A 19,247-nucleotide genomic window follows, 5' to 3' on the forward strand; every position below is an offset into this window, starting at 1 on the left:
TTGAGAATCTGTATTCATTCCAACATAATCGTGAACAGTGTACTCACTATAGCCCAATTTTCTTTTAAGGGAAGGGAAAGAGAAGTATGTAGGAAAAATAAGATTAAGTTAATGGCAAAGATAGTATTCAAAATGGAGTCATGCATTTTACTGAAGGTGAACTATAATGTTGATAACATTTATAACAAAATTGGGTTCTTACTTTGTGCCAGGTACTGTGCTAAACATTACTTCATTTACTTCTGATAAATTTTTCATTAGGTGGATGATACTGTAATTAATTTCATTAGATCAAAACTGTATTCAAGAATATACAAGTGATAGAGCTTGGGTATGAATCCTGGCAGCCAGTACTCCAGAGCTTGAACTCTTTGTCACAGTAGTAAATACTGAACTCTTAGTCACAATACTAAATAACTGCCTTGCTGAACTAATACCTGAGGTGTTCCAGGGATGTACATTTACTTTTGCTAATTCCCAGGTAGATGACACCGGGTGAAAAATGAGGTTCAGAGAGGTTAAGTAACTTAAAAGATCATGTGTCTCATAAATAGAATAGATGGAAATCAAACTCACATCTGCCTAATTCCAAACCTTGTGTTCTTTTAGTACTCCCTATTATCTTTGAACTAATACAACCTTTTAGAGTTACGAAGTGCTTTAATATCTATGCTTTTATAATGTTTTTGTGTCTTGCAGGGATTTATCAAAGATGTTCATGAAGACTCCCTTACAGTTGTTTTTGAAAATAAGTAAGTTATTTTTGTTGACAAAGGCCTTAATTTTAGAGATGGCAGTGCCAAACTTTTTGCTTTTGGGTGTTCCTACTGCCAGTGGAAAAATGATTTTGCTTTTAGGGAGTGGGGAGGTTTGGTTGTTTGATCATAAGTCTAGTTTTGATAATTCTTTATCTGTTTTTCTGTCCATAATTGTCACTTTTTTCATAACCCTCTTCGCCAGAACATGTATGGATATGAATCAGTTTTGCAGAAATAGATGGCACAAATTAGATGATAATATGCTTAATATTTAAAAGCCCAGAATTTTCAAATGAGGTTGTAGAAGGTCTTCCAGTTGACTACTGGTCATCAGAATAAGTATTAAGCCATTTTTAATTGCCTGAGGGGTATGCAGTCTAAAAATGGGAAAGACAGCATGCTGGGTTTGGTTAGGAAGGGCTATAAAAGAGCGCTGGGCTGCGTGCGGTGGCTCATGCCTGTAATCCCAGCACTTTGGGAGGCCGAGGCGGGCAGATCACTTGAGGTCAGGAGTGTGAGACAGCCTGGCCAACATGGTGAAACCCTGTCTCTACTAAAAAATACAAAAAAATTAGCTAGTCATGGTGGGGGGGCGCCTGTAATTCCAGCTACTTAGGAGACTGAGGCAGGAGAATTGTTTGAACCCAGGAGGTGGAGGTTGCAGTGAGCTGAGACGGCGCCATTGCACTCCAGCCTGGACGACAAGAGCAAAACTCCATCTCCAAGAGCACTGTTTAATTGATGGTCAGAAAAAAACTGTTCAGCTTCCACTTTTAAGCTGTTTCTGGAATTGCCTGAAAAGATCTTTGCCTAACAGCTGCTTCATGTAGAAACAAGTGTTGAGATGATTTCTATCTTTGAGCAGCTGCCATTTGGACAGTAATGGTGAAAAGAAAGCATCCCCAAATCTTTTACTTGTCAGCTGCTACTTTGCCCAGCCTTGGCAGATAGAAACTTGAGGGACATTTTATGTCATAGTATACTTCCCAGACATATAAATGACCTATGAGAAATTAGAGTAGGGAATAATTTTTTACTTTATAATTTCAGCTTTTAAAATACAACATGAAAAATGTCAGTTAACTGCTAAATTGGTTTAATACATTCGTATTTGCTACAGAGTTAAAAGTAAGCTTTTTCTAGGTTCTAATTATAATGTATATATCCACTGTAGGAAAGATAAATGGAACGTGAGAAAATGAAATCTTTTGTAATTCAGCTATTCAAAATAATTGCTGATAATTTTCTGTATTTCTGTGAACATGTATACTAAAAAGAATTACACAGTTTATATTGTTTTGTAATATATGAAATTGTGTTTCCTTTATTGATAGGTCATGTAGTTGTGAAACTATTTGAAATAAGTTGATACCACTACTATTTATTGGGCAGCTGTCCGAATCAAAGTTAGTCATCACTGTGAACTTAGCTTATTTCATTTGCAGAATAATGTATGTATTGCTCTTATGATGAGTAATTTGGGAGAATGTGTACTGCTGTTAGGATGAGTAATTTGGGAGGTAATGTACAATTGTTAACAATTATGTTAATTATGAACTTATTAAGAGTCATACAAAATCTGTTCTACTTCAGTAACTAATTTCTTGGGAAATTATTAATAGTATGAATGTTGTTTTCCTTCTCTTTAGGGAAAGCTAAATGATAAACTAACTTGAAAAAATATGCAACACCAGGCGTAGACTATATATTTTTAAGTTGTTAATACACCTTTTCTAATCCTTCAGTTGGCAACCAGAACGCCAGGTTCCATTTAATGAAGTTAGATTACCACCACCACCTGATATAAAAAAAGAAATTAGTGAAGGAGATGAAGTAGAGGTATGTATTTTTAAGTTTATTTTCTTGTGTCTATTTTTTTGATTTAAATAAATACTCTTTTAGGAGAATTAGCTTAGTTGATGGAGGATAAATCTAATTCATTTTCTCTATTCTTTCTATTGGTGGTAATAGCTGTGTAATACAGCAGTGCTTGAGTTTTGGAGTTAGAATCGGTCTCACCTGTCCCATTTTTAGCTTTGTAGACTTTAAATTTATCATTATAATTTGGAAGTCATGGATGATAGTGCATTTGAATTCTTAAAAGAACCTAGCATTGAACGCTATGCACTATGGTGTTACCCTTTTCCTTCTTTTTGCTAATTACTTTAAATAATTTGTCTTAACGATTTGCCTGGGTGTCTTTATGAGGTGTTAATAGTTATTTTACTATAGTGATCATTAACAGAGTTCATATGTAACAACGTGAAATATTGTAACTAGCTTTCTGCCTTCTACAATATTCTAGAAATGTCTGAGGAAAAATTTAAAAGTACAGAAAAGCAAAAAAAATACAGGAGGAGGGAAAGAAAAATCACAGCTCACAGATGAATAAAACATTGTTCATGTCGTGCATGTTCTTTCAGGCTTGTCTCAGCATCCCAAAATGATGGGATTACAGGCGTGAGCCACCGTGCCCGGCCCTACAAACATTTTATTTTATTTTATTTATTTATTTTTTGAGATGGAGTTTCCCTCGTCTTCCAGGTTGCAGTGCAATGGCGCGATCTTGGCTCACTGCAACCTCTGCCTCCCAGGTTCAAGCGATTCACCTGCCTCAGCCTCCTGAATAGCTGGAACTACAGGCGTGTGTCACCACGCCTGGCTAATTTTTGTATTGTTAGTAGAGACGGGCTTTCATGATGTTGGCCAGGCTGTTCTCGAACTCCTGACCTCAGGTGATCTGCCCACTTTGTCCCCCCAAAATGCTGGGATTACAGGTGTGAGCCACCGCGCCTAGCCATTTACAAACATTTTAAACTTACATATTCTGTACTAAGCACTTTGCAAATGATTTAGTTATCTGCCAATTTTATTTTACTTTATTTTATTTTTTGAGATGGAGTCTCACTCTGTCGCCTAAGCTGGAGTTCAATGGAGCAATCTCAGTTCACTCCAACCTCCTCTTCCCAGGTTCAAGCGATTCTCCTGCCACAGCCTTCTGAGTATCTGGGATTATAGGTACCCACCATCACGCCCAGCTAATTGTTTTACTTGTAGTAGAGACAGGGTTTCGCCTTGTTGGCCAGGCTGGTCTTGAACTCCTGACCTCAGGTGATCCGCCCACCTTGGCCTCCCAAAGTTCTGGGATTACAGGTGTGAGCCACCATACATGGCCTGATTTTTTAATGACAAATTTTCTTTGAGCTCTCATTAATCTAGATAGTATGCTAGGAAGTCAAAAATTGCAGCACTTCAATCCCTGACAACCTTAACTTAGTGTACCCACTTTGGTGGAAGTCAAAGATAAAAGAGTGAGTAAAGTGAATGCTTTACTCATTCATGAGGGACTTGGCTCATGGCACCCTGACATAATTTATACTTTGCTTTAGTAAAAGCAAAATAGTACACAGTGAACTTAGTGCAAATAATTAAAATCCAGGCAGAATTTTTAAATGGCAGTAAGTTAAGAAGTAACTTTTTGTAAGGATACCTGTAACTATCTGTGTGTATTAGAGTTCTTGAGGAAAATGTTACTGGTGGCATCTGGGGGAGACACGAGGAAACAAAGTGGTGAAGTGACTGCTGCAAATCAAGGAGTGTGAAGTGGAGTCCTTGGTGGGTGCTATATATGGCAGTGATGCTGCAGATTACTGTGTTCATTTGGACTTTAGATTTTATTGAAAATGTTTTTCTCAATATTGTATCTCTAATAGTTTTCTGTGAGAATAAAGGGCTTGATTCATTTTCATTTTTCAAAATTTATTTCTGATACAGTGTTTTTTGGATTTTGAGTAAGCAAAAGTTAGGTCAAGCAAGGAATGATGTAGGTTTGGACATGTTCTAGAATTAGAAATGTGTGGCACTCAGTTTTGAGAGTAATGCTTCTTACACTTTTTTGTTGTTTAGACACTTAAAATTGGTAGCGTCAAGTCTCAGATTAAAGGGAAAACTACTCTTGGTGGGGTGGTGAGGGTGTTGTTACAGTGTACTTTTTCCATTCCTGTCCAGGAGGGTCCTTCCCTGTTCCTGAACAGTCTGGCTCACCCCTGTGGTCTGCCTCCGCTTTTGTGAAGAAGACATTGGTGTTAGAGATTGAATGATTTAGAAATTGAATCTAGAGTTTTTTTTAAATTTCACGTTATGTTTTATGATTCAGCTCTGGTCAAATTTGCTCTCTAGAATTTTGTAAGTCATTATCTGAAATTAAAATGTGATTTTTTTTCACTTTTGAAAAATTTAAAAATTAATATAAGGAAAAAGTTTAAGCATAATCTTGCCACCCATAGGATTTTGTTTTTTTGTCACCGTTTATTAAGGATTTATCCATATTACGTAGAGTGTTTAGAAATTCGGAGTTAGTGCTTTCCCAGGTAACGTTTCGAAAGCCTCTTCCCCTTCTTTAAATTTAAAGTAATAAAGCTTAATGTAAAAAATGAAATGGTAAAAAATTATATAAAGTACAAAGTAAACCTTCCATCTTAATGTAGGTGTACTTGTCCACCCACCCTATCTTAAATCTCATTTACCAGAGTTGATTCTCTTGTAAGTTTTTTATTTGCATGTATAAAGGACATATTTAAGTTGAAAAAAAATTGGGATTAAGTTATATATTTGTGACTTTTGTATTCACTTAATTAGGACAGCAAACATTTTCGTGTCTTCTCATTTAAATTTACCTCATTTTTTGTAACCACCTCAAAATTATTTGGTGTGGATATATCAAATTAAAAGACATTGAAATTACCAGATTTTTTGCTGTTAGCAAAAGAAAACAATGCCAGAGTTAAAGTTAATATTCTTATGCAAGTCTGGTAGTATAATTCCTAAGAGGTTAATGTTTTTAAAAGTATTAAAATGTACCATTTCATCCTCCAAAAATGTCTTCAGAATTACTTTATACTTTTATTAACACTGGAGGTATCTTTTTCATACATTAAGTGACTGTATTATATTGTTCATATGTACAGTTTTGTAAACTTGGTGGATGGAAACTGATGTCTCATGAATTCTCATTTCCTTAATGAATAGTAGTATGGGAACATCACTTAAATTAGTTGGTTGGCTCTTAACCCCTTGTTCTGTGAATTGTCTATTTTTTGTTTGTGCAGTTTTTGGTGTAGGAAGTCCTTGCATTTTATGGCTGAGTTTTATTTTTTTATTTTATTTTATTTTTGAGATGGAGTTTTGCTCCTGTTGCTCAGGCTGGAGTGCAATGGTGCGATCTCGGCTCACTACAACCTCCACCTCCCGGGTTCAAGCGATTCTCCTGCCTCAGCCTCCCTAGTAGCTGGGATTACAGGCATGCGCCATCATACCCGGCTGATTTTGTATTTTCAGTAGCGACGGGGTTTCTCCATGTTGGTCAGGCTGGTCTCAAACTCCCGACCTCAGGTGATCAGCCTGCCTTGGCCTCCCAAAGTTCTGGGATTACAGGTGTGAGCCACTGTGCCCAGCCCTGAGTTTTTATCTTTTTTGTGTTTTTTTCTTAGGCAATTTTTTTATTTTTTATTTTTTATTTTTTGAGATGGAGTCTCACTAAGTTGCTCAGGTTGGAGTACAGTGGCACAATCTCAGTTCACTGCAACCTCCACCTCCCGATTTTAAGTGATTGTCGTGCCTTGGCCTCTGAGTAGCTGGAATTACAGGTGTGAGCCACAATGCCCAGCTAATTTTTTTATTTTTAGTAGAGATGGTGTTTTGTGATGTTGGCCAGGCTGGTCTCGAACTTCTGGCTTCAAGTGAACACCCGCCTCGGCCTCCCAAAGTGCTGAGATTATAGGCGTGAGACACTGCGCAGGCTTACTTTTACATTTTTAAATTATGTTTTCTACATCTGCTTCCCTGCACTATTTTTCCCTTATACCGGTGGGGGGGTGTGGGTGGTAATCCTTTTAGGTTGCTTCATATCTGATCGCCTTAGTTATGAAATGTAATTTTTTGGTCAATAAACACTTTTTCTTAAAATTTTTCTGGGATTGTGCAAAATAGCAGAGGTAAACTGTCATTCTTCAATCATACTTAGAGATGGTCAGGCTCGATTGTTTACTGGTTTATTATAAAGGATACAAGTCAGGAACTGCCAAATGAAAGAGATGCATGAGGCAAGGTCGGGGTGAGGGAAGGGGCTTGGAAAGTAGAGCTTCCATGACTTCTTTGAGCATGCCACATTTCCAGCCCATCAATAGATTCACCAGCCCGGGAGCTCTACCATCATACTTTTTAAACAGATTATTTCAGAGTCACAAAACGGTTTGTGTCCTCTTCTTAACTGTGTGAATACTTTATTAGCTTGTCCAAGGTTAGTCTGGAGGTTGGGAAGCTGATAACCAGTTTCATTTTTTGTTTTTCCAAATGTATTCAGAGGGTTTGGTCAGTTTTGTGCCAGACTCACAACATTCTTCTGCAGCTCTAGGAATCCTTTGAAGGAAAGAAAAGGTGACTTTGCCCTTAGTAATAAATTTAGAACAAAAATGATCCAAGAGAGAGCTTTATTAAGCTTGTAAGGTGATTTTTAAAGACTTGAGCCATAAGAAATTTCCATTCTTGTAGGTCAGAAATGGTTAAGTATTGACAGTTTCATATGGTTTACACTAACATTTTGTTACATTAAAAATATATTGGTTGCTTAAATACAGGGTTTGCCTTTCTAGCCCCTTAGGAAATTTACATGAAGTTACAGCACATAAAGTAATGTCATGGCCCAGCAGTGGACCCAAGAAGACAACATATGATTTATAGTAGAAAGTTAATTTTGAAAAGGTCTAAAATGGAAATATTTATTTTTATACCTAATTAGTGGTTTTTTATTTGCCTTTTAAAAATGGTGTCATCTCTTTAAAAATCTTCATAACACTTAATAGTAAATATTTCATAAGTATTTGCTTAATGATTGATTTTTGCTGACTAAAGATTGCTAGAAAAATATGCTCCGCCTGTAAAGTTTGAAGGTAATGTGAAAATGAAGAGTTCTTTAGATTTCGTTTACATTGGGTATCTAGTACAGTGTTTTGGGCTCTTGGAAGGGCAGTAGAAATATCCCTCCTCCCTCATTTCACATGTAACATTTTTGCTTTTTATTTTAGATATCTGCCTTGCTCAGCAAGTAATATATAAGCAACACACATAGACACGTTACATAGTAAGCCTGACATCTAAGGTGATAACGTGTTTAGTTTTTGTTTTTTTCTGTTTTCTTTTTTTTTTGGAGATGGAGTTTCGGTCTTGTCCAGGCTCTAGTGCAATGGCGCCATCTCGGCTCAGCGCAACCTCCGCCTCCTGGGTTCAAGTGATTCTCCTGCCTCAGCCTCCCAAGTAGCAGAGATTACAGGCATGTGCCACCACACCCAGCTAATTTTGTATTTTTGGTAGAGACGGGTTTTCTCCACATTGGTCAGGCTGGTCTCGAACTCCTGACCTCAGGTGATCCACCCGCCTCGGCCTCCCAAAGTGCCAGGATTACAGGCTTGAGCCACCACGCGCAGCCCTGATAATGTTTTTTGTAAGGTTTCTTCCTTGCATTTAGCATATTTGAAATTTTAAAAACCTGTTTTTGAACTGTGAGGTTTTCTGGTTTAGTATTCATAGTTAAAATAGGAATTGGCAAGTTTTTGTTCTTGTGGCATATGCCTTTCCTTTTCTAGTCATATGGCGGATTGTCAGGCATTATGGTTATATATCTATATATTATATTAAAATGTTGGGATAGGCGCCTTGAGAGAAATTGGATTAAAAAAGAGAATAAAAATTATCTGAGGTAAGACACTCCTTTCTTTTACAACTTTTTAGATTTTTTTTTTTTTCCAAATTTTATTTTTTTGAGACAGGGTCTTACTCTGTCACCCAGGCTGGAGTACAATGGTGCCATCATGGCTCACTTACAGCCTTGACCTCCCGGGCTCAAGGGATCTTCCCTGTCTCAGCTTCTTGAGTAGCTGGGATCATAGGCGTGTGCTACCATGCTGGGCTAATTTTTGTATTTTTTGTAGAGATGAGGTTTTGCCATGGTGCCCAAGCGAGTCTTGAACTCCTGGGCTCAAGCAGTCACCCACCTCAGCCTCCCAAAGTGGTGTGTGCTACCATGCCTAGTCTAATTCAGTATTTTATTTATATAAAAGATATACATGGATTATTTACTCTACTTTTTAAAAAGTTTTAAGTTTGATTCTTTTGGCCAGTCTGAAGTTTTTAGCTGTCTGTATTTAGATGTAGTTTTTCTCATCATACCAAGATACCAAGACCATTGTTAGTCTTACTGCTTGGGAAACGCTCGCACATAAAGGAGAGACGAACATATTCTTTGTTACTTGTTTTTGTCTTGCAGAGTGGCCAGTTTCTAGGACTTGATATAGTAAAGAAAGCTGGTAGGAAACTGATTTGTTAAAGTGTCAGCCTTAAAGGTGAATGAGATAATACTATTATTTAGGTAGAGAAATCATACATGTTCATTCCAGATGTTAAACTTTTCTAATGCGCATTTTCTTCTTAAAATGTCATAATACAAAATGGCAGATACATAATAGCAGTACTCAATAAATGTATTTCACATGTTGAAAATGGGTCCTTATGATTGATTATTTAGTTTAATAGTAAATAATAGGAAAATTTCTTTGGAAAAATGGAAATATAGTTAATTTACTGAAGACTGGTAAAAATTCTCTGTCTTTGATACTTATTCTTAATTTGGCTACTTGAAAGGCATAGGTTGGGCCAGGTGCAGTGGCTCACACCTGTAATCCCAGCACTTTGGGAGGCCGAGGCGGGCAGATCATGAGGTCAGGAGATTGAGACCATCCTGGCTAACACGGTGAAACCCCATCTCTACTAAAAATACAAAAAATTAGCCAGGTGTGGTAGCGGGTGCCTGTAGTCCCAGCTACTCGGGAGGCTGAGGCAGGAGAATGGCGTGAACCCCGGAGGTGGAGCTCGCAGTGAGCTGAGATTGCGCCACTGCACTCCAGCCTGGGCGACAGAGCGAGACTCCGTCTCAAAAAAAAAAAAAAAAAAAAAAAAAAAAGGCATAGGTTGAACATTATGAACTTGAATGAAAAATTGATGACTTTAGGATCCAGATTGGAATTACATTTAAATCACTCACATTTGTTTGCTTGAGTTTAGAGATTTTTTTTGAAACAGAATTTGACTTGGGATCATTTGGTGGAAAGAATCCTGAAATAGGCTTTTGGAATTTGATTCTTCCTATTTATTTCATCCTGTACTCCATAAAACGATAGTGATTAAAATGAGTGCTATTGTGTTTTTAGGCTTCTCATCATGGTCACTCCACAGTCTCCTGGATTTTAGTATGTTAGAGCAGTGTGTGGGCCATTTGAGAGTGTGAATTGTTCCTGCGAAATAGTTTGCAGAGTTAAGTAAAATCTGAGGAAAAGGAATTTCTGTGGGGCGCTGTTATTCAATGACAGATTCGTAAATCAATTCAGTAATTAACATTTAGGATATAGTACACTAGAGCACAGTTTTAATGCTGGCTTATTGAAGTGATATTTTATTGTGTGAGATATACTCTTCATTTTGTATAGGATATGATTTGATCCATAGCACTGTAAGTGGGGGTGTTTTCTTTTTTCCTTCTTCCTAAGATGGAGTCTTGCTTGTCGACCAGGCTGGAGTGCAGTGGCGTGATCTCGGCTCACTGCAACCTCTGCCTCCTAGGTTAAAGTGATTCTCCTGCCTCAGCCTCCTGAGTAGCTGGGATTACAGGCACTCGCCACCATGCCCGGCTAATTTTCGTATTTTTAGTAGAGACGGGGTTTCACCATATTGGTCAGGCTGGTCTCAAACTCCTGACCTCAGGTGATCCACCCGCCTTGGCATCCCGAAGTGCTGAGATTACAGGTGTGAGCCACTGTGCCCGGCTTTTTTTTTTTTTTTTTTTTTTTTTTTAAGAAGGAGTCTTGCTCTGTCATCCAGGCTGGAGGGCAGTGGTGCGATCTTGGCTCACCTCCCAGGTTCAGGCGATTCTCCTGCCTCAACCTCCCAAGTAGCTGGGATTACGGGCGCCCGCCCACCACCATGCCCAGCTAATTTTTGTACTTTTAGTAGAGACGGGGTTTTGCCATGTTGGCCAGGTTGGTCTCAAACTCCTGACCTCAGGTGATCCACCCGCCTCAGCCTCCCAGAGTGCTGGGATTACAGGTGTGGGCTGTGCAGCCAAATTTGTAGTGTTTTTGATTCAGGCTTAGGAATTTAGGTTTAGTCACTTTATGAGAGTAACTTGGTCTTTCAGGGGTGAAGTTATGAAGCTTACAGAAGTGGATATTAAGTTTAAAATGGAGTTCAGCATTTCATCGTTCAGTGAGAAAAGCCTCCAGGCAGTTGAGATGGTTTATTTAGAAAGCCAGATTCATGAATGATTATGCTTTGGTGAAAATAGAATAAGGGGGTTAGGTAGTTTTAAGACATAACATTTTCAGCAAATGAGGCTTGATTTACCCACATTAACAAGAGATATTCGAACTGCCTCTCTGAGATAGTTACTCGAATGGGCACCTTCTTTTGGTTGTTAGGATATTCTTTTTTTTTTTGAGATGCAGTTTCGCTCTTGTTGCCTAGGCTGGAGGGCAATGGCGCGATCTCAGCTCACCGCAGCCTCCGCCTCCCAGGTTCAAGCAATTCTCCTACCTCAGCCTCCCGAGTAGCTGGGATTACAGGCATGCACCACCACGCCTGGCTAATTTTGTATTTTTAGTAGAGACAGGGTTTCTCCATGTTGAGGCTGGTCTCGAACTCCTGACCTCAGGTGATCCACCCACCTCGGCCTCCCAAAGTGCTGGGATTACAGGCGTGAGCCACCGCGCCCGGCCTAGAATATTCTTTTTGTAACCCTCAGTATACTTGGGAAAACAGTCATCACTGATCGTTTACCAAATAATTTTGTAGCAGAAAGAATGAAAGGGTAGTAAGGTCGTTATTGGACCTTTTTTTTTTTTGAGACAGGGTCTCGCTCTGTCACCCAGTTTAGAGTATAGTGGCATGATCATGGCTCACTGCAGCCTTGACCTCCCAGTCTCAAGTGATCCTCCTTCCTCAGCCTCCCAAGTAGCTGGGACTAGAGGCATGCACCAACCACACCTGGCTAATTAAAAAAAAATTTTTTTTATAGAGACGAAATCTTCCTGTGTTGTCCAGGTTGGTCTCAAACTCCTGGGCTCAAGCAGTCCTCCTGCCTCAGCCTCCAAAAGTGCTGGGATTACAGGCATGAGCCACTGTGCCCCCCATTATTAGACTTTTTTAAAGGCCATTATTGACTCCATGCTGGAGTATAGTGAAGCAAACACAACTCACTGCAGCCTTGACTTCCTGGGCTCAAGAGATCCTTCCACCCTACCCCAGGCCCCCAAGTAGCTGAGATTACAGGCACATGCCACCATGCCTGGCTAACTTTTGTATTTTGCATAGTGATGGTGTTTCACCATGTTGTCCAGGCTGGTCTCGAACTCTGGAGCCAAAGTGATCTGCCCACCTCAGCCTCCCAGAGTACTCGGATTACGGGCGTGAGCCCCACCACGCATGGCCTTATTAGACATTTTAGTGAGGGTTTAAACATAGCAAATCTAACTTTTTCATATTTTCCAGGTTTTGATGATATATGTATCTACAATGAATGCAGTTCTCTAAATGTAACTAACTGCTCACTGTTATACATGAACCTAGAACATACCAATCTTATAAATATTGATAGCAGATTTAAAATATATCTCTAATAAATTCTAGCTTATTCTGGTTATTCTTACAGTTGGATCATCAGAATGCAGTCCTTGAATACTTTGGAACTTTTAATGACATCTCATTCTATTGAAGAAGGGATAGCCATCTCTGTGCTGTAATTTTAGCACATTTAGTCAGTTGGATTGACTAATCTATTGAATATTTTTGCATTTCATTATCTTTCTTTTTCGAGTTACCTTTGTATACACATCTGCTTTTGACATTTCCACTTACGAAGTACATTTTGGCACACAAACATTTCTTAAAATTTTATCTTCAATTTTTATTTTACCTTTTTTTTCCCCCTGGACAGGGTCTCGTTCTGTCACCCAGGGTTGAGTGTAGTGGTACAATCTTGGCTCACTGCAGTCTCAACTTCCCAGGCTCCAGCAATCCTTCCACCCTAGCCTTCCATGTAGGTGGCACCACAGGTGCACGCTACGACACCTGGCTAATTTCTTTTGTATTTTTGATAGAGATGGGGTTTCATCATGTTGTCCAGGGTGGTCTTGAACTCCTGAGCTCTCAAGCAGTCGACCTGCTTTGGCTCCCCAAAGTTTTGGGATTATAGGTGTAAGCCACCGTGCCTGACCACAAACATCTTAAAAGATGGAAGAATACTGTCATATACCCTTTTAGCAAACCAGGATGATCTGGGTTCTTGTTGGAGGATTTTGCATGATGGAGTCTCAGTTGAGTCATTAACTGGATGAGAATACACATCATCTTTCCCTCTTCTCCTTAGAAATACATTGTTTGAGAACAATGTTTGAGAAATACATCGTTTGAGAAATACATCGTTTGAGAAATACATTGAGAACATTCATCTAAGATGTCACCATCTCAGACTTCATAGTCTGAGGTTTTGCTTTGTAAGATAATTTCACATTTATCAGTACTCTTTGCATCTGTTGTCTGATATCTCTAATAATTAGAAAGGCCTTCCTCTGTAAATTTTTCTTCTCTTCGCAATTATGAGTGAAAAAAATTCATAATTATCAACTGGTCAACGGTAGCTAAAAGCAGACTACAAGGATGGTGTCTTTGGTCTTTTTGAACTGTTTTGAAAGAGATGTGATACCTCAGGCTATGCAGTAAGGAAACTGTATGAACATTAACAGTTTATTTCACTGTTGTATCCTCTAGGTGATGCCATCATTCCTCTGTTCCATTTTAGTCTTTATTTAAAGCATAGCTGAGAATAACTGATGAATGTTGATGAAATTGTAAAGTGTTTCAAGATATAGGAAAAATAAGATCACTAGATTCTACCTTACATTTATAAAAGGGCCCAGTGGATACATATAATAATTACAGAATAAGGGTGAGTTCTGTTCTAGTCTTAGAGAAGTAAACTTTCTTGTTTTTTGGAATATGTCGTAAGGAAGAATATAAGTCATGAGATATTGATCCCTTTGAATAGTTAGATCTGTTTATAAAAGAAATGGAAAAGCTAAAATTGAGTTTAACGGACCCTGATTGGTATATTGGACTTCCTGCTTTTTCTCATAGCTTTTTTCTAATCATGGTATACGATAAAGTTCATTAGTAGGTTTTGGTTTATTCATTTCCAGTTCCAGTATTCCTACCACTTCCAAGATTACTCTCAAATCATCCTGATAGAAGCTTCAGGCTTTCTAAAAGTCTTTGTTTTTAGTTGTTTGTGTTTATCTCCCAGATGGCTGTTAACAGCCACTGATAGGTTTCCCTGATGATCTCTGCAAGGACAGTCAATCTTGGTTTTTATTGGTTTTTAGTTTCTTCTCAGCCCCCCTTTTCTACCTTTCTCTATACTGAAAATATAATACGTTAAAGAAGCTCTGCTGTGTCATAAGAAATAACTCTAATCCCAAGTGAAAGCTTCTGTGACCTATTACGTTAATAAAACTGATATTTATAGATATAAAGAATATGACTTGTTTTTTTGTGGATAGTTTTTATTTTGTTTTTTTTGAGATGGAGTTTTGCTCTAGGTGCCTAGGCTGGAGTGCAATGGTGTGATCTCTGCTCACTGCATCCTCCACCCTCTGGACATGATTCTCCTGCCTCAGCCCTCCGAGTAGATGAGATTACAGGCACCTGCCACCATGCCCGGCTAATTTTTATATTTTAGTAGAGACAGGGTTTACCGTGTTGGTCAGCCTTGTCTCGAACTCCTGACCTCAGGTTATCCACCCACCTTGGCCTCCCAAAGTGCTGGGATTACAGGTGTGAGCCACTGCGTCCGGCCTGGATAGGAATTTTGTAAGATACTTAATGTATTCTGCTAGATGGACTGAATGTGTGTAATTTTTTTGTTCAGTTAAACAATTTTAGTACATTTGATTTAGGTTCTTTAGCACGGGATCTAAATGTCATATCCTCGATGGAATTTAAAAATTACGTTAATCACTTTCTGAGAACAATTTTTAATATTAACAATGTTGACAGAAACAGGAAGACCTGTGTTTTACATTATTTAAAACTCCTTTGTAAGAGCATTTCTTTAAAATAATACTTATGTTTAGTAAACCTCATGAATATGGAATTAATTTCTAAGAAGCTAAATTGCCCAAAAAAGTAGTTTTATTTTTAAGTAGTAAATTTAAGTTACATATCACTTTCTTTAAATTGCATTTAATATGCCAATTTAAATAAAATAGCATTTTTCATTCTTAAGTTTATTGGGATTGGGTATTAATAAAAAGTCATTTACAGCATTGAAATCTTTTGGGATGAATGGATATAGGCATTTTTTTTTCTTCTCAGGTATATTCAAGAGCAAATGACCAAGAGCCATGTGGGTGGTGGTTGGCTAAAGTTCGGATGATGAAAGGAGAAGTAAGTACTCTTCACACTTGCTTTGTGACTAGTTTCTAAGGAAGTACCTCAGTGCTTGGTTTTTGTAAATCTTATTTCAACTGTTAGTTTTATTTCTAAAAGCCTACCTGAGAAATAGTTGATCAGACATTTCCATTAGCATTAATTTCTGTTTGTGTTCTGTATTGGCAAACACCAAAGCTGCTCTCCAGAGGTACACCTCAAGCATGTAAGGACCGCCAAGGTTCATGCTTGTAAGAACCTATAATCTAGTTTAGGCAAATCAGATTGATGTAGCTAAGCTGTGCTTAGTATTTTATGCCACATGGGGGAGGGTCCGTTGGTTAAGCTGAGCAAGGTAATTAGAACTTCATTTAAACTTCATTATTTTTGTTCAGATGGGATTTTTAAAGTATTTTGATGTCTTTTAGTTTTATGTCATTGAATATGCTGCTTGTGACGCTACTTACAATGAAATAGTCACATTTGAACGACTTCGGCCTGTCAATCAAAATAAAACTGTCAAAAAAAATACCTTCTTTAAATGCACAGTGGATGTTCCTGAGGATTTGAGAGAGGCGTGAGTAATTTTATATACTATTGAATTGTTCTGTGAATTAAGAAGATTTTTCAGTCCTACAAAACATTTTCCCTAATGCCCAATCAAACCTTCTGATGGAAAATCATCTTAATGAACAAAGGTTTTAGTGGGGCTTGTCAAAATGAAACACTGACTTTGTATTGTGACTCTCCTCTGACTTTAATCTGTTATTGAGTTCTTACACATAAATTGATTTCTCTCTAGGTGTGCTAATGAAAATGCACATAAAGATTTTAAGAAAGCAGTAGGAGCATGCAGAATTTTTTACCATCCAGAAACAACACAGCTAATGATACTGGTAAGATAGTACCATATTATAAGGTAGCTTATTAATGGATATTGCACAGATTTTATAATTACATATTTCAGAAGAGAAAAGCTAAGATCAACTTAGTGTATAGTGAATTTATTAATATAGTGTGGGAGAAAAATTTGTTTGCAGCTATAAAATGTTAATTACATTCTTAACATCATAAAATTCTTAATGTGTGAGATTCCGGATTTTTCCCCAATCAAACATATTCTGAATAGCAGATCTAAATAATACAGGAATTCAGAAAGGAAAGTGTGATTACTCAGAGTAGTGAGTGTTAGGTGAAAGAAGTGTAGTAGATGAGAAGCAAGGAAGGCTTTGCATAGAAGATGGGATGGTGTTTGTGCTATTTGGAAGAATGATTAAAGTTTTGAGTAATTAGCTTGTTTGTTTATAGTCTGCCAGTGAAGCAACTGTGAAGAGAGTAAACATCTTAAGTGACATGCATTTGCGAAGTATTCGTACGAAGTTGATGCTTATGTCCAGAAATGAAGAGGCCACTAAGCATTTAGAAGTAAGTGGGTTTACTTACAAAAGAGTTTTCTGTGTCCCATTTAGTTTTTGTTTGTTTTTTGGAGACAGATTCTGGCTCTGTTGCCCAGGCTAGAGTGCAGTGGCACAATCTTGGCTTACTGCAACCTCCACCTCCCGGATTCAAGCGGTTCTCCTGCCTCAGCCTCCGTGTAGCTGGGATTGCAGGTGTGCCCCACCAAGCCCAGCTAATTTTTGTATTTTAGTAGAGGTGGGGTTTTGCCATGTTGGCCAGGCTGGTCTCGAGCTCCTGGGCTCAAGTGATTGCCCGCCTCAGCCTCTCAAAGTGCTGGGATTACAGGCATGAGCCACCGAACCTGGCCCCCATTTAGTTTTATATTTTTCAAGTTCCTTGCTTCAAACGAAGGCAGCCCAGGACCTCTGTTTCGTGACTGTTTGGAGTTGTGTCCGTAGAACAATTGCTTTTCCATTTTACCTTTTATCAAACATAGCCTTTCCTTTGCGAAATGCCTGTTGACTTGTTGGTAGGACTTAGATGACAGGTGCCAAAGAGCTAAGAAACTAGGGATACTCAGTAGACTGTATTGCTAGTTCTTTACTTTGTATTTAACCTTTTTATTTTTTTAACTGCCTTGTCATCTGTCAGTCATGATATCTTTCATCAGTAACTAGTTCACTGTAACAACTCTTGTGTGAGAGGAGAGGAGGACTAGGAGTGAGGCATCATGTGGCATGTAGTATTAAAATATTAAGCTTATCATTATATCTCTGTCTTATCCTAAGGTACTCTGTTTTGTCCTGTTCTTCCCTGCTACACTAGTAGGATACTTGTTCTTCCCACTCACTCACACTTTCTAGATCTAGATGAACACATGTGCATGCACACACTGTGATGTCTCAGAGAAATTAAGATATGTTTATTATCCTTAGGACAAATTTGGAAATGTTCTCATTAATTTAAAAATTCTGAACAAGGGATATGTGAACAAATCTGCCTGTATCTGGAAAAGTGTTTTAGACTAATAAAATAGATGAATAAAACAGTTTCTTTTCCCCATTCATTTTATGACATTAGATGAGTTTCCTTTGTTTCTTAAGAAACTTGAGTTTTGGCCTTTTTAAAAAAATTTATGTGGGTTTTCGGTGGTTTTTTCTTCTTGGGTTTTTCTTTATACTGTGGTAAAGTACATATGAAACTTAGCATCTTAACCATTTTTAAGTGTACACTTAGTATTAAGTATGTTTACATTATTGATCAATCTTCAGTACATCTCATCTTGTAAAACTGCAAATCTATACCCTTTAGACAGCTGCTCATTTTCCCCTTTCCACAGCCCCTGACAACCATCATTCTATTTTCTGTTGCTATAAATTTGACTATTTTAGATACCTCATGTAAGTAAAATCATTTTAGTCTTTTTTGTGACTGGCATATTTTACTTAGCATCAAGGTTCATCTATGTAGCATGTGTCAGAATTTCCTTTTTAAGGCAGAATGTATATACCACATTATGTTCATTCATTAATTGGTCTGTGGATTTGGGTTGCTTTCACCTCTTTACTGTCGTAAATAATGCTATGAACATGGATTTGCAATAAAACATTTTGTGGCCGCGTGTGGTAGCTCATGCCTATAATCCCAGCACTTTGGGAGGCTGAAGTGGGAGGATTGCTTTAGCCCAAAAGTTCGAGACCAGCCTGGGTAACATAGTGAGAGCTCGTCTCTACAAAAAATAAATTAAAAAAAAAAAATTAGCTGGGCTCAGTGGTGCGTGCCTGTATTTCCAACTATTCAGGAGGCTGAAGTGGGACGATTGCTTGAGCCCAGGAGATTGAGTTGGCAGTGAGCCATGATCACGCCACTGCACCCTAGCCTTGGTGACAGAGTGAGACCCTGTCTGGAAAAAAACCAAACCATACAAAAAAGCCATTTTGTATTTTGATCTTTTATATTACTAATTTTCCTTTTTTATTAGTGCACAAAACAACTTGCAGCAGCTTTTCATGAGGAATTTGTTGTGAGAGAAGATTTAATGGGCCTGGCAATAGGAACACATGGTAGTAACATCCAGCAAGCTAGGAAGGTTCCTGGAGTTACCGCCATTGAGCTAGATGAAGATACTGGAACATTCAGAATCTACGGAGAGGTAAGTTCTCTTTCTCCTGCCTTGGCCTTTAGTGTATTAACCATCTATTGTTTGATTATATTTTTATCTGAAATTCCAGTTTCCCATGAAACATTTTTGAGGTAGAATTTATTCAATTAGCATCAGTCAGCCTAGTAGTCTTACTTATGAAGCTGAATTGAAGTTAACTTTGTATTGAGGGGAGTGAAAGATTTACTAAGTAATTAAATATGTAGTTTTTTTATTGAGGTTTCTTAACCGCTTCTGAGTTTACTTCAGTTTTATACCCGTTAACAAATAATCTATCGAAGTATTTTTTTGAATGTTTACTGTGTGCCAGGCACTGGCAGGAGTAAATGGCATATATTAGAATAGCTTTTCTAGAACTTGAGTTTGTATAATACTTCGTCACTGGTTAATCATGACGTTTGCAG

The 19,247-nt window shown here is 38.0% G+C and overlaps 1 protein-coding gene across 10 annotated transcripts in view, besides 1 other annotated feature; it reads left to right on the top strand.

Moving 5' to 3' along the window:
* Positions 1-19,247, top strand: part of FXR1 (FMR1 autosomal homolog 1) — a 70,084-nt gene that overhangs the window by 19,965 nt on the left and 30,872 nt on the right. For 9 of the 10 annotated variants that reach the window (NM_001013439.3, NM_001441509.1, NM_001441513.1 and 6 more), the window contains 7 exons: positions 700-752; positions 2,504-2,597; positions 15,231-15,302; positions 15,713-15,861; positions 16,087-16,180; positions 16,593-16,709; positions 18,664-18,834. In NM_001013439.3, the coding sequence (NP_001013457.1) occupies positions 15,288-15,302; positions 15,713-15,861; positions 16,087-16,180; positions 16,593-16,709; positions 18,664-18,834 (546 nt within the window). In that variant the 5' untranslated portion in view covers positions 700-752; positions 2,504-2,597; positions 15,231-15,287. The remainder of the gene's footprint in view (positions 1-699; positions 753-2,503; positions 2,598-15,230; positions 15,303-15,712; positions 15,862-16,086; positions 16,181-16,592; positions 16,710-18,663; positions 18,835-19,247) is intronic. The other variant, NM_001441515.1, reaches the window with a different exon arrangement.
* Positions 15,303-15,352: a silencer, noted in NCBI's record as "silent region_14928". NCBI's record gives its function as "represses an Ori minimal core promoter by ATAC-STARR-seq in GM12878 lymphoblastoid cells {active_cell/tissue: GM12878}" and the evidence as "EXISTENCE:reporter gene assay evidence [ECO:0000049][PMID:35858748]".

Source organism: Homo sapiens, chromosome 3 (assembly GCF_000001405.40).
Source record: "Homo sapiens chromosome 3, GRCh38.p14 Primary Assembly".
NCBI lineage: Eukaryota > Metazoa > Chordata > Mammalia > Primates > Hominidae > Homo > Homo sapiens.